The sequence below is a fragment of the Homo sapiens genome, chromosome 9 (genome assembly GCF_000001405.40).
Source record: "Homo sapiens chromosome 9, GRCh38.p14 Primary Assembly".
NCBI classification, from domain to species: domain Eukaryota; kingdom Metazoa; phylum Chordata; class Mammalia; order Primates; family Hominidae; genus Homo; species Homo sapiens.
In genome coordinates, this window is record NC_000009.12 from 100,659,710 (window position 1) to 100,674,565 (window position 14,856).

A 14,856-nucleotide genomic window follows, 5' to 3' on the forward strand; every position below is an offset into this window, starting at 1 on the left:
GAGGACCTCCAGCAGACCTATTTGGAATGAATAAAAGTGGGACAAATGCAAAGACTTAATATCAGCAGCCTGAATCTTGTTATGCTTTTATGATTTCCAGGATGTGTTCTGTCCCATTTGTTGCCTTCTCCCCAAATGCATACTGTGTGGCATTGACAGGCTCTTAGAATATGAGGGATTACAATGTTGGTAATTATAGTGATTACATTTGTTGAGTGCTTACTATGTGTCAAGCTTTGCTAAGTACCCTTCTTTCAAAATCTCATTTCCTAGTCACTGCACTTCCGCAAGGTAATACTATTACAAACCCCATTTTACAAATGAGAAAACTGAGGCACAGAGAGGTTATTCATTTACCCAAGGTCATGTAACCAGCACTGTCTCCTGTTGACAAACTATTAATGTTATTTCCCATTTCTCAGCCTTGATTACTACTTAATAAATCACCTGAAAAATAACTGCATATTTTGGTTCATAGTAGTTCCTAGTCACTCAATAGGTCTACCAAAATATATTTTTTATCTTTATTTCTTACCGTCACATGGGGATCACTGACAAATGTTGTGGATGAAAGCCATAGACTGAATTGAGCCATTGATGCCAGGCCTCCTGCCCCACACAGTGGAGTATCTGCTGACATAGGCCTCTACTAGATGCTAAGTTCTAGAACTTAGATGTCACCGAGCCTTACAACATGTGCCTATGGGCACAGTAGAGCCTCAGTGACCTCTGTACCCATCAGGACCTACCTGGCTTGGCTTCCATATCCTTATTTTTGGACTCAGACAAAGAACTCTGCCTCTGTGAAACCTTCCCTGTCCTCTCCATGTCTTCCACAGCTAAGGTGACAGCATGTACTTTGAGAAGCACATTCAGGAGGGCTGTCTGGTATAGGTGAATCACAGGGTACTTGGAGGGGGTGAGACAACACCAGAAGGGGAGGAAAGTTATTGATTAGGGAAGGCGTTACATACTGTTAGAGGAAGTCAGTATCTTATCTAGAGGGAAGCACTAAAGGATTTTAGGCTGGAGAATTGACATAAGCAATATTTGAATTTAGGAAACTCATTCAGCAAAGATGCAAGGGGAACGAGGCAAGACAGTAAGCAGGGAGATTCATTAGAAGGCTATTGTAATAAAGTAGAAGTCCTCCAACTACTACACACAGAACCTCCCAGAGAGCTTTAAAATACAGATTGCTGGGGCTACTCCAGAATTTCCAATCTAGTAGGTTTGGGGTGGGGCCTGAGAATTTGCTTTTCTAAAATGTTCTCAGGGGATGCCCACATTACTGATCTGGGAACCCTGCTTTGAGAATGATGAGAGAACTACTGTTGTAAAGAAAGAACAATTATTTGAATCAAGGCATTGACAGTGGGGATAGGGATGAGAGGCCACATTTAATACATATTTAGGAGGTAAAATGTGACAGTTTTGGTGATGGGATGGAGGGAAGTTAGGAAGGAAAGGTTTTGAGCTGAGTGGCTGGGTGGGTAAAGGAACCATGCCTGAGCTGAGCTAGGGTCCCAAGGAGGATGTATTAGTCCATTTTCACACTGCTGATACAGGCATACCCAAGACTGGGTAATTTACAAAAGAGGTTTAATAGACTTACAGTTCCATGTGGCTGGGGAGGCCTCACAATCATGGCGGAATGTGAAAGGCACATCTCACATGGTGGCAGACAAGAGAAGAGAACTTGTGTAGGGAAACTCCCCTTTATAAAACCATCAGATCTCATGAGACTTATTCACTATCACGAGAATAGCATGTGAAAGACCCACCCCTATGATTAAATTATCTCCCACCAGGTCCCTCCCACAACATGTGGGAATTATGGGAGCTACAATTCAAGATGAGAATTTGGTGGAGACACAGCCCAACCATATCAGAGGAGAGCAGAATCCTCCAAAGTGCAGTACTCTCAGGGTTAATGCATTTTGCTTCACCTCATAATGAGGGTTTCCTTTAAAAGATGGATCAATTTTTCCACATCAGTAATTTCTACTTTTCTAAGTACTATGGCAATATTTTGTGAAGACTTTTCAATAATTTAAGTGTTTTCTGTGGACGGTTTTATGGTACAAAGTAGGAAGGTGTAAGGGAGAGGGATCCTGGGTGACATGAATGAGGCTGTCAGAGGGCGTGTGTTTGGGGCTACATCATGTTCTTTTCCCTCGCTTGTCCCCTCCAGTGCTGTGGTTACAGCTGCAATAGGAAATACCCACAAATGAATTCTCCTGATAGGCAACAATTATGAATATTATCATTCAGCAGCCAGGGAAGTTGTATGCCATTTTCAAAAAGGATGAACAATAATTTTTCTTTGAATGTGGCATAAGGGAAATAGAGCTTGAAAAGGGAACTGTAAGTGGGAGAAGTCAGTCGCAGCAGGATTTCCTTATGTTTTCTACCAAGCAGGAAGGAAAGAAAACTGTGTTCATCTTGACTTTGAGAAAAGATTATAAATAAATTGCCTGGTAAGCTCTCAAGCAATGGATTGATCAGCAGATGCAGAAGCTGCTGGTATTTTCTGACACTGAGCTCTTTCCACCCAGTCTGTGCCACTGGAGGCACTACTGTGACAGCAAATTAGAAAGGATGTGCTCCTGGAAAGACACTCGTTGGCCAAGCTGGTCATAATTCATGCTCTGGCAATACTGTGCCTGGAGGAGGGAGAATGAAACATTTATGAAAATGGCTCCTAGCAACACATCACATTTGTCAAAAGGAAAAAGGCAGGAAAGCAGGAATCATCTCCCCAAAAGAGGCCATGCTGGTTTTGTTTTTTTTTGACTAGACTGCATGTGTGAGTTTTTGAAGGTGAACCCGTGGGTGATTCATATCTGCAACTAGCTTAGTTGTTAGTGCCTTATCATATTTTACCAGAGGCCAGGTGAGCTTTCTTGCAAGGTAATGGGGAAGAATCGGGGCTCGGTTATTCAATAGGCAGACTAAGCATGTGTTTACGGCACTTGCAAAACTGGAGCAAAAAATTTTCTTAAGGGAAGGATAGTATCTAAAAATTGGAGGAAAGCATCTCAATGGTCATCATGTGTAGACCCAGATTTTTTTTTATTATTATACTTTAAGTTCTGGGATATATGTGCAAAACATGCAGGTTTGTTACATAGGTATGCATGTGCCATGGTGGTTTGCTGCACCTATCAACCCATCATCTAGGTTTTAAGCCCTGCATGCATTAGGTATTTGTCCTAATGCTCTTCCTTCCCTTGCCCCCCCATCCCCCAACAGGCCCTGGTATATGATGTTCCCCTCCCTGGGTCCACGTATTCTTATTTAGACCCAGAATTTTGTGGGATTTCTTTATGCCCAAACACTGTTCGGCAAATATAATTAAAAACAAAATTTTCCCGCTCAAGAAATCTTTTCCACAAAAGAAGAGAAAGACAACAGTTTTATTACTGAAAAAGCATTAAACCCAAATGTGATGTGCATCACAGGCAATCCCTCAAGAGATTGCAAAGATAGAAAGAAATCACACCCCTTTCTATAGCCAAGCAGATACAACCTATTCCAGATGTGTTCTCAAGATAAATAATAACTAGTCCTCAGGTAAGAAGACTTGACAGCACTATTTGTCACACATCCTTTGTTCTAACTTTACCTGGTAATTGAGGTGACCATCTGTGTTAGCTAATTGGCTTTATCCAGAGGAAAAACAAACCTCTCATATCTTTATGACAGGAGGTAGTTTTGCAACTTGGAGGATTGTGCCTGCCTAAGTTAGGCTCCTACCCTTCCACAGAAACTGGGAGATAGGGGCACTATCTCCCTTGATGTTTGCATTTCAGAGAAATGGTTCCCAAGGCTTTGAGGAAGCCTTTCTGGGTCATAAAGCCGACAAAAGACCTATCTAATTTTGGCAAAGGTTTATATACATTTCAAAGAGAGGAGAATATGCTTACAATTTTAAGGTTTCTAAAGAAAATGCTGTAAGAAAAAGGAGAGGAGGGAAATCTCTTTCCTTATTTATTTATTTATTTATTTATTATTTTTTTTTGAGACGGAGTTTCGCTCTTGTTGCCCAGGCTGGAGTGTAGTGGTGCGATCTTGGCTCCCTGCAACCTCCACCTTCCAGGTTCAAGCTATTCTCCTGCCTTAGCCTCCCGAGTGGCTGGGATTACAGGCACGTGGGACCACGCCTGGCTAATTTTTTGTATTTTTTAATAGAGACGGGCTTTCACCATGTTGGCCAGGCTGGTCTCGAACTCCTGATCTTGTGATCCACCCGCCTTGGCCTCTCAGAATGCTGGGATTATAGGCATGAGCCACTGCACCTGGCCCTCTTTATTTATTTTAAATAAAAAAATTGACAGGTAAAATCGTATGCATTCACACCATGTACAGCTTGTTGTATTAAAGTATATATACATTGTGTAATGACTAAATCTTGCTAGTTAACATATGTATTATTACCTCACAAAGTTATTATTATTTTTTGGTGAGAACACTTTAATTCATTCTCTTAGCATTTTTCAAGCATAAAATTATTATTAACTATAGCTACCATGTTGCACAATAAATTTCTTAAATTGATTCCTCCTATTTAACTGATCTTTTCTTATTTTTAAGAGGGAGAATTAAGACTCTTATTTTGAAATTTTAAGTGTTCTTATAATATTTATTTTATAGTTAACATTGTTTTAATTTTGATTCACTTGTTTTTTTTGGGGGGGGTGGGTTTGTGGAGCGGAGGGGGGATAAAATGTACTATTTTCAGGAATTAGTTTGGCACTAGAATGAGACAGGGCCTGGTATCTGTCCCTGGCTTTGAGGGGCAAACTCAGAGCGGGGAGTAGCAGTGGGATCCAGGGACTTTAGTAATCTGTAACACTTGGTTAGCACTAGGAGGCTGGGCTGAGGGAGCTGGAGGGCTCAGCATGGGGTGGAGTTGAAATGAGTCCAGAAAGGTTTTGGGGATAAGCCCCAAGTCCACCCAAGCAAGCAGACTTGCCATTCTGTCTGTGGGTCTGAAGCCCCCAGTCACTGGAAGGAGGCCCAGAGACAGGACTCCAGACCTTCCAGTGAAACTCTAATGAGAGCAAGGCAGGGTATGGTCAATGGAGGGAGATTAGGAACTCAAAGCTCAAGATAGGGATGGATGTAACTGATAACTATTGCTTCCACTCTGTCTGCCACCGTTAGTCCATCATCAGGAGCATCAAGCTTTCAATGAATTGAGTTGAAATGGCAATTTTTACGTAGTGAATTATGGGCTGCCCTTTGAATTACTACTCATGTTTTCTGATTGTAGAACTATCATATTTTTAGAAAATATCACTGTGGAAACCAATGGCTCTATTAACAACAGGAAACAACTCAAACTGGCCTAAGCCAGAAGGAGAATTGGTTTAGTAAAAGGCAGAGAGGAGCTATCTTCAAGAATAAACCCAGGGATTCAGACGATGCCATCAAATTACTATCTCCCCTTTCCATTTCTTTTTATTTTTAATTGACATACTAATTTTATAGATTTATGGGTATGATGTTTCAATATGTGTATATATTGTGTAATGATTAAGAGCAATTAGTATATTCATTACTTCAAATATTTATCATTTCTTTGTGGTTGTAACATAATTCTTCTAGCTATTTTGAGATATACAATACTTTATGGTTGACTCTAGTCACCTTACCGTGCAACAGGATACCAGGATGTATTCTTCCTTTCTAATTGTAATTTTGTACCTATTAACTATCTTCTCCCTATTCCCACCTTCCCCCCCATCCCCAGTCTCTGGCAACCACTCTTCTATTCACTACTTCTATGAGATCAACTTTTTTAGATTCTGCATATGAGTGAGAACATGTAATATATGTCTTTCTGTGCCTGGCTTATTTCACTTAATGTCATGACCTCCAAGTTCATCCATGTTGTCACAAATGACAGGATTGCATTCTTTTTTATGGGTGAATAGTATTCCATCATGTATATACATCATACTTTCTTCATTCATTAATCTGTTGTTGGACTGTTAGGTTGATTCTATGTCTTGGCTATTGTGTATAGTGCTGCAATAAACAGAGAGTGCAGATATCTCTTCAACATACTGATTTTATATCCTTCGGATATTCACTCAGTAGTGGGATTCCTGAATCATATGATAGTTCCATTTTTGATTTTTTGAGGAATTTCCCTACTGTTTTCTATAATGGTCATACCAATTTACATTCAAATCAATAAATGTGATACATCACAATAACAGAAACAAGGACAAAGGCCATATGATCATTTTAATAGATGCAGAAAAAGCATTTAACAAAGTTCAACATCCCTTCCTGGTGAAAACACATAGTACCGAAAGTCCCAGCAAGAGCAATTAAACAAGAGAAAGAAATAACAGACATTCAAATTGGAAAGAAGAAAGTCAAATTGTCCCTGTTTGCAGAAGACACAATCTTATATCTAGAAAACCCTAAAGTTTCCACCAAAAAACTGTTAGAACTAATGAATTCAGTAAAGTTGGAGAATACAAAATCAATGTACAAAAATCAGTAGCATTTCTATATACTAATAGTGAACTATCTGAAAAGAAAATCCAGAAAACAATTTCATTTGCAATAGCTACGAAAAAGATACTTAGGAATAAATATTTAGCCAAGGGAGTAAAAAGTCTCTACACTGGAACTATAAATCATTGATGAAAGAAATGAAAGAGGACACAAATAAATGAAAAGATATTTCGTATTCATGGATTGGGAGAATTAATATTGTTAAAATGTCCATACTACCCAAAGCAGTCTATAGATTCAATGCAATCACTATCAAAATACCGATGACATTCTCTAAAGAAATTGAAAAAAAAACTAAAATTCATAAAGAACCACAGAAGGCCATAAATAGTAAAATAAAAGCAATTTCTGGCAAACAACAACAACAACAACAAAAACAAAAACAAAGCTGGAGGCATCACACTACCTGACTTAAAAATCTAATACAAAGCTATAGTAACACAAACAACATGGTACTGGCATAAAAACAGACACATAGACCAATTGAATGGTATACAGAGCCCAGAAATAAATCCACACATTTACAGACAACCAATTTTTGACAAAGGTATTGATGGCAGCAGTGGCCAGTCTGGAGCAGCTGCTGCAAAGATGCCAGCTGTGGCAGGGGAGGTGTGACTGGGGCTGTGTGCTGTGTGGATCCAATAGGAGCTGAGAACAGGCAGAAGCCCCACCCCTGTCTAAGTAGGCATTCCTGCACTCTTGGGGGCTCAGGAATCTTCCTTGCTCCTGCAGGTTGGAAATACTTGCTCCTGCTGCCAGGAGCCCTTGCTCTTGGTGCCCACTCTGATTTCGGAGCAATGTTGAGGCCGAGCCTGGGTACTGTTGCCACCCAGCCAAGTGTGCATGTGCTCGGGGAAGTGCTGACACACCAATGCCCTGTTGCCTTGGCTCCCTCCAGACTTTGGGTGCCAAAGAGCACAGGAGGGAGGCCAAAGTGGGGCCAAAGAGCACAGGAGGGAGGCCAAGGGGAGGCCAAGGAGGGCAGCTTGGCATGGGCCTGCAGGCACCCCTCAGCATGAACAGCCTGGGTTTCATGGATGGCAGGTTGATGGTGGCAGGAGGCAGACAGGCTCCTGAGTAGAAAGAGGTGGGTCCCCAGTGCAGCCCTATCTTCAGGCCCGGGTTGGCTTGAAGCCTGGGGGCCAGGCTGCCAGTTCCATGGACAAGAGTGAGAACTTGTGGTGCTTTTTCTGGGCCCACCCATGGCTTCCTCTGGACCAATCAGCATGTACTTCCTCCCCTCTGAAGCCCCCCAAAACCCTAGATTCAGCCAGATTTGGGCAGATATTGGGATGACCTGTCTGCAGGGTGGAGCTACCCACTGTGGGTCTCTGCTCTGCTGAGAGCTGAGCAGACATGGGGTCGACCTCCCTGAGGAGAGGAGCTACCCACTGTGGGTCTTCTCTCTGCTGAGAGCTGAGCAGATGTAGAGATGACCTGTGTGAGGAGAGGAGCTACCCACTGTGGGTCTTCTCTCTCTGAGAGCTGAGCACATGATGGGATGACCTGCCTGCGGAGACGAGCTACACACCGAGGGTCTCCTCTGAACTGTTCTGTTGCTCAATAAAGCACCTCTTCACCTTGCTCGCTCTCCACTTGTCCACATACCTCATTCTTCCTTGACACAGGATAAGAACTTGGGGACCCCTGAATGGTGGGGTTGAAAGAACTATAATACAAACACGGCTGAAACATGCCCCTTGCTCACTACATTGTGGGTGATGAGAAGGAGAGGACAGAAGAAGAGAAGAGCTGTGGCACTTTGGGGATCTCAGACCTAGGAGCTCCCAAGCCAGAGCCATGACACCCACTTTGGGACTCCACAATTCGTGGCATCTCTAAGCATCCAGGTGCCACTGCATTCCCTGGTGCCAGCTGTGGAAGCTGCTTGCCATACGCCTGGTCCAGCCGCAGCCTCACAGGGAGCTGGCATCCATGCTGGTGCCTGGAGCTGCCTGCCCCACCACAGCTGGCATGCCTGGCTGTGCACAGTGGCTGGACCCTGTGCTCACTCACTCATGCACCCCTTACCACTCTGTGCCTGGGTCACCCTTGGCAGGTGTGGGATCCGGGCTGGTAGCATGAGCCAGGTGCACCTGCCAGGCCGAGTGGGTGGAACAAGCCTAGTGGGCCTGAGCAAAACTCGAGCAAAGGTGTCACCAGCCACAAAGGTTTCCAGCTGGTGAAGCAACACCCCAAGGATCCTGTCACAGTGTCAAGAACACCCAGTCTCTTCAATAAATTGCACTGGGAAAATTGGATATCCACCTGCAGAAGAATAACACTGGACCCCTCCCTTTCACCATATACAAAAATCAACTCAAAATGAATCAAAGACTTAAATGTAAGACCCCAAACTATAAAACTACTGTTAGAAAACATTAGGAAAATGCCTCCTCATATTGGACTAGGCAATGAGTTTTTGGATAAGACCTCAACAGCACAGGCAACCAAAGCAAAAATAGACAAATGGGATTACATCAAACTAAAAAGCTGCTGCACAGCAAAGGAAACAACAAGTAAAGAGACAATCTACAAAATTGGAGAAAATACTTACAAACTATACATCTGATAAGGGGTTAATAAATAGTATAAGGAGCTCAAACAGCTCAATAGCAAAAAAACCCCACCATCACCCCTAAAAAAGAAAAAAACAACCCATAATTCAATTAAAAAATGGGCACATACAAATGGCAAACAGTTATATGAAAAGGTGATCAACATCATTGATCAATAGAGAGATGCAAATCAAAATTACCATGAGATATCTTCTCACCCCAGTTAAAATGACATTTATCCTAAAGACAGGCAATAAACGCTGGCAAGGATGTGGAAAAAAGGGAACCCTCTTACACTGTTGGTGGTAATGTAAATTAGTACAATTACTATGGAGAACAGTTTTGAGGTTCCTCAAAAAACTAAAAATTGAGCTATCAGGTAATCCAGCAATCCCACTGCTAGCTATATACCTCAAAAGAAAGGAAATTAGTATTTTGGAGAGATATCTGCACTCTCATGTTTATTGCAGCACTATTCACAATAGCCAAGATTTGGAAACAACCCAAGTGCCCATCAACAGATGACTGGATAAAGACAATGTGGTACACATACACAATGAAGTACTATTCATAAAAAAGAATGAGATCCTGTGATTGGCAACAACATGGATGCAACTGGAGGACATTATGTTAAGTGAAATAAGCCAGGCACAGAAAGACAAACTTCACATGTTCTCACTTATCTGTGGGAGCCAAAAATGAAAACACTGGAACTCATGGAGTAGAATTGTGGTTACCAGAGGTTAGGAAATGTAGAGTGTGTGTGTGGGGAGGTAGGCGGGATGTGGGATGGTTAATGGGTACAAAAAAATGGAAATAATCAATAAGATCTAGTATTTGATAGCCCAATAGGGTGACTATAGTTAATAATAATTTAATTGTACATTTAAAGATAACTAAAAGAGTATAATTGGATGGTTTATAATACAAAGGATAAATGGTTGAGGTGATTTATACCTAATTTACCCTGATGTGATTATTACACATTATTACACATGCCTGTATCAAAATATCCCATGTACCCCACAAACATATATACCTGAAGTGGCATCATTGTCTGGGGTAAATACCCGAGGTTCATCATCTTATGCCAGGAAAATTGAGGACGGGGACACACAAGAAGTGAGTTAAAGATCAGAGATTTAATAGGAGAAAGAAAGAGAAAAGAGACTAGCTCTCTTGCAGAGAGAGAGTGGCTCCCAAGTCAATCTTCCATTTCTGTGGTGAAATGCATGGGGTTTTATAGACGAGCTTGACGGGGCGGTGTCTGATTTACATAGGTCCCAAGAGATTGGTTAGACCAGGTGTGCTGTTTGCATAGTTCAGGAAGAACCTGGCCACCCCACCCTAATCTTTTATTACGCAGAAGGTTTCTACGTGGCCAGCGCAGCCTTTTTACTGCACACGTGGCCACAAAGAAAAGGGAAGAGGAAACCTCCATGTTGAACATGCATGCCCCCCAGGTAGCCTTTTCCTATTGGCACAGCTGCCAGCATTTACCTATGCAAGCTTCCAGCTTGCTTATTTATGTCTGCAGCTCGATTTTACAGGCTGCTCTTTGTCAGAAAAGAAATGATTTGGGGCTGCTTTTTTGTTACAAGGGAAGCCTTCCTGAGGACTCTCTTACCCTTACTAACTGCCTAAATAATTTCTTTTTTGCTCACTAACTGCCTAACTAATTTCTTTTTTTGCTCCTGTATCATACCTACAATGTACCCACAAAATTAAAAATGAAAAATGAAAAAAATAAGCAAAAGACCTTAATATACATTTCTTAAGAGAAGACATACAAATGGCCAACAGGCATATTAAAAAATGCTCAACATTACTAATCATTAGGGAAATGCAAATCAAATCCAAGAGAAATCACCTCATTCTAGTTAGAATGGATATTATACAAAAAAGACAAAAGACAACAAGCATTGGTGAGAATGTGGGGAAAAGGGAACACTTACACACTGTTGGTGATAATGTAAATTAGTACAGCCTTTCCCATTTCCTGTTTTCCTTCCTTGGCAGGCAGGCTCTCTCCTCACAAAGTGGTTACCAGCTGCGCCAAGTTTACATGCATGGATGGTCTTCAGTGCCTGGGATTGTAAAAAGGACATAAAGCTTCTTGCCGTGTGTGTATTTCAGTTCCCTAAATCAGATCTCTGATTCACCTTACTTGGGTCACATGCTCATCTCTGAAACCAATCACTGTGTATAGACAGAAGAGCACTTTGGGGGTAAAGTTGAGGCCACATGACTTACAGCCCCATAGAGGTTATGTTAACAGAAGAAGAGGAGGGAAAACAGGGTTGATGAAGCAACTGTCATCCACTACAACTGTCCCCTCCTGGAGGTGAAGAACAGTGTCTTATTTGCCTTTGTAACCCCAATGTGTAGCAAAAGCTCTAGGACACAGTGGATTTTCAGTACATATTTGTTGAGTGCATGAGCTTGCATTCTTCCTTTTGACACATCTTTATTGCCTAAGTATGTTGATCTGATAGCCGTAGAATTTGGTAATGGTATGGAGGAGCAGATTTTGGATATAACCAGAACAAAATATTTGCATCAGAAATAATTTCCTTGCTTGAAAGCAGTTATTTATAATGCCAGCAGCCAGTTTAAAGTAAAGAATACATGTGAGTAGTGCTTAAAGAGGTGCTTGTTGAGAACACTGCCTGTTGAATAGCAGGTGCTATAAAAATGTTAGTTAAAGAAATAAATTCTGGGTAAAATGTGGCTTTAAGTAGAATAAGTAAAAAATGTTAGTAATTCTGTATGTTTAAAGTATAATGGCCTAATTACAGTTATTTAGGGAGGCACCAACACCTGGGAAGCCTCGCATAGGTCTTCAGGCAGACTTAAGTACTTACATATTTTCAGGCATTTTGTGCATATCCCCAGTAAATAACTTGTTATACTGTTTCACTGAATCTTAAAATGTCCTATTGAACTACCCTTAGGGGAGGAGGTGTGAACTTAATCTCCAGAGGGCAGAGGTATTGCCTGAAGCATCCTCCTCAAAAGTGAGAAATTTCTTTGCAGTGTCTCTTTTAATGCAAAACAAAGGCATGCATATTTTGCATTCTGTTCCATGGTATCCCCATGTTTGTTGTAATATGAACAATCATCTGTCCTTTCCCATTGGAAGCACAGCATTGAAGAAATTCTCCCCAGATGACACAAAGGCAATTTTACATTCTGTAATTCTTCCCGCCACTCATTAGGCAATTTGAGGCGTTTTCTAAAACTCATGGTAATTTTTATCCAAGGAGAAGGGCACAATAGTTCACAAGAAGGAGTGGAATCCACTTTGGTTAAAAAATAATGAGGTCTGTTTTGCATAAGAACAGCTGCTTAATCAGTCTCGGCCCTGTGCTCGCACAAGTTTTGCTGACTTTTTCTTCCAAATAATTTTAACAATGCTCACGCTTTCTGGTATTGCCTGAGAATGTGTAGAAAGAACACTGGGTTGGCAAGAGAAACACTGTCATGAATGATCCCTGTACCCTCAGAAAACCACTTCATCTTGGTTTTCTTACCCATTAAATGAGAAGCTTAAACTCAGTGGTCTTTAAAATCAATTCCACTTACCAAATTTGTTTTTAGCACAGGGAACTATATTAGCTGTCCATATGCACCAACTGGACAAATACCTGGTAAAAACTATTGGAAGGAAAAAGCAGACTCAAGAGTTTCAATGTGAGCTGTCTGTTCTTCTCCTTTGAATGGTGTGATGTAGATGTAGTCTGAATCATAGTTACTTTTTAAATATTTTAAAACATTTATTTAGTGCCAGGTACTCTCCCAAGATCTTTAAAAATCCTACCTTATTAAATTGTCATAATATCACACAATGAGATGGGTACTATTATTACCTCCATTTTACAGATGAGAAACCTGAAGCATGGAGAGGTTAATTAACTTGTCCAAAGTCACAACTGGTAAAGGCAGAGCCAGGCTGGAGCCCAGGAAATCTGGCTCCAGAGTTAAACTACCATATTATGCTACCTCTCCATATAATAACAGAGATGCTGTATCTTCTCCTGCTGTGAGGGTAGGCTGCAAACTGTGCCCTGGCATTTATGCTCATGATGTAAAGATAAAGAAAATTTGGCCCCTACCGTCCTAGAACTTACAATTCAGTGGAAGAGAGAGACTCATAGACAGCAAATTATAGGAGGAGTGCTTTCAGAGGCGTGAGTGAAGATCTATAGGAGGTGGAGGAGGCAGTGGTTCTGTCTGGTTAGGGAAAGATAGAGGGCAAGGGGAAGACATACAGGGACAGCTCTGAAGGAACTTGGACTAATTGTAGGATGTGTATGAATTTACCAGGGAGAGAAGGGAGTTTTGATGAATCTGGAAGGCGATTCTAGCCAAAAGGATCAGTACACACAGAAGTGTAAGAAGGCCCATGATGCCACCGAAGCTTGGAGATTCCCACCCAAGTAGTACTTTGCCAGGAAGCAGGAGTGAATGTTTCCTGTATTATTTAAACTTTTTACATTGAGCATATATTCTATTTTTTAAAAAACATATAAAGCTATTATATTTTAAGCCATGATTGTCCAAGCCGTCCTCATGTGGACTACTCTATGGCCTCCTTTTGAAATCCTCATCTTCTCCCACCATCTGTTCTCCCCCCTGCAGCCCGGGTGATCTTTCAGAAAGCCCCACTCTACTTAAACACTCTTGTGGCTTCTCAGACATTAGAAAAAAAATCTGAGCACTTTACCTTACAAAGCTCTTACCAAGTTCTTTTAATATTATCACTTGAGAACTTGGAGCAGGGCAGAGGTTGATTTTCTACCCTGTATAATAATAAAGATCAAAGGAGGTCTATTTTGCTCCTAGAGTAAAGATGATTTTATGAAGCTACATATTTTCCTTGAAGAGTCTATTTTTGGACAAGTGGAAAGAAGCTCTGGGCATAGAAAGAAAACACACACACACACACACACACACACACACACACACACACACTTTGACATAAAATTACTTGCTTACTTGCTAGGTCCTGTTAGGACATCCTTATAGAAGATCAGCATTTGGCATATATTGCCAAAGTGAAAAATGTGTAATAATGAAGTGCCAGATATAAAAGATAGAGACTCAGAGGCTTGTATAAATTGCCCAAAGATGGCTAAGAAGAAAAAACTGCTTTGAGCTTTGGCTGAAAAATTGTGAAGTGTGTTCTCTGAATGGTGATGCCTTCACTGAGTTTTTACTATACACAACATAGGAAAATTGACCCTATGGGGAAGTGGAAGTGTGTCCAAAACATAGAACAGGTGCTTTCCTGAAGGCATTCATAATTAAGGAGCTATAAAATATATGTGCACCATAAGCAGTTTGAAAACAACTATAAAGAAAGGAGATTAGAAATACTAGGGTGTCTAGCACAGACCTAATGTATATGTGCTGAGGGGTGAAAACAGATGGAAAGGGGCGGCAGGTTCTGGGGAAAGATTCTCACAAGAGACACATTTCGAGCTGGGACTTAGATGATGTGGATTGTTGCAAAATGATAAGGAGGTCATCTGAGGCGGAGGGCAAGGTTTGAGCAAAGTTAGTGAGAAGGATCCTAGGGAGATATGTACAGGAGAAGGCCTTTGTGAGCAGGACAGAGCTGTGTTGGCAAAGTTGTGCTTCCATAAACTACCATCAAATATCTAGATAAGAATGAGCATTATGAAAATAAATAGGAATTATACAAAAAACATACTGGTACTTGAAAATAAGCCAATTGCTTCAGGCATTGAGAATT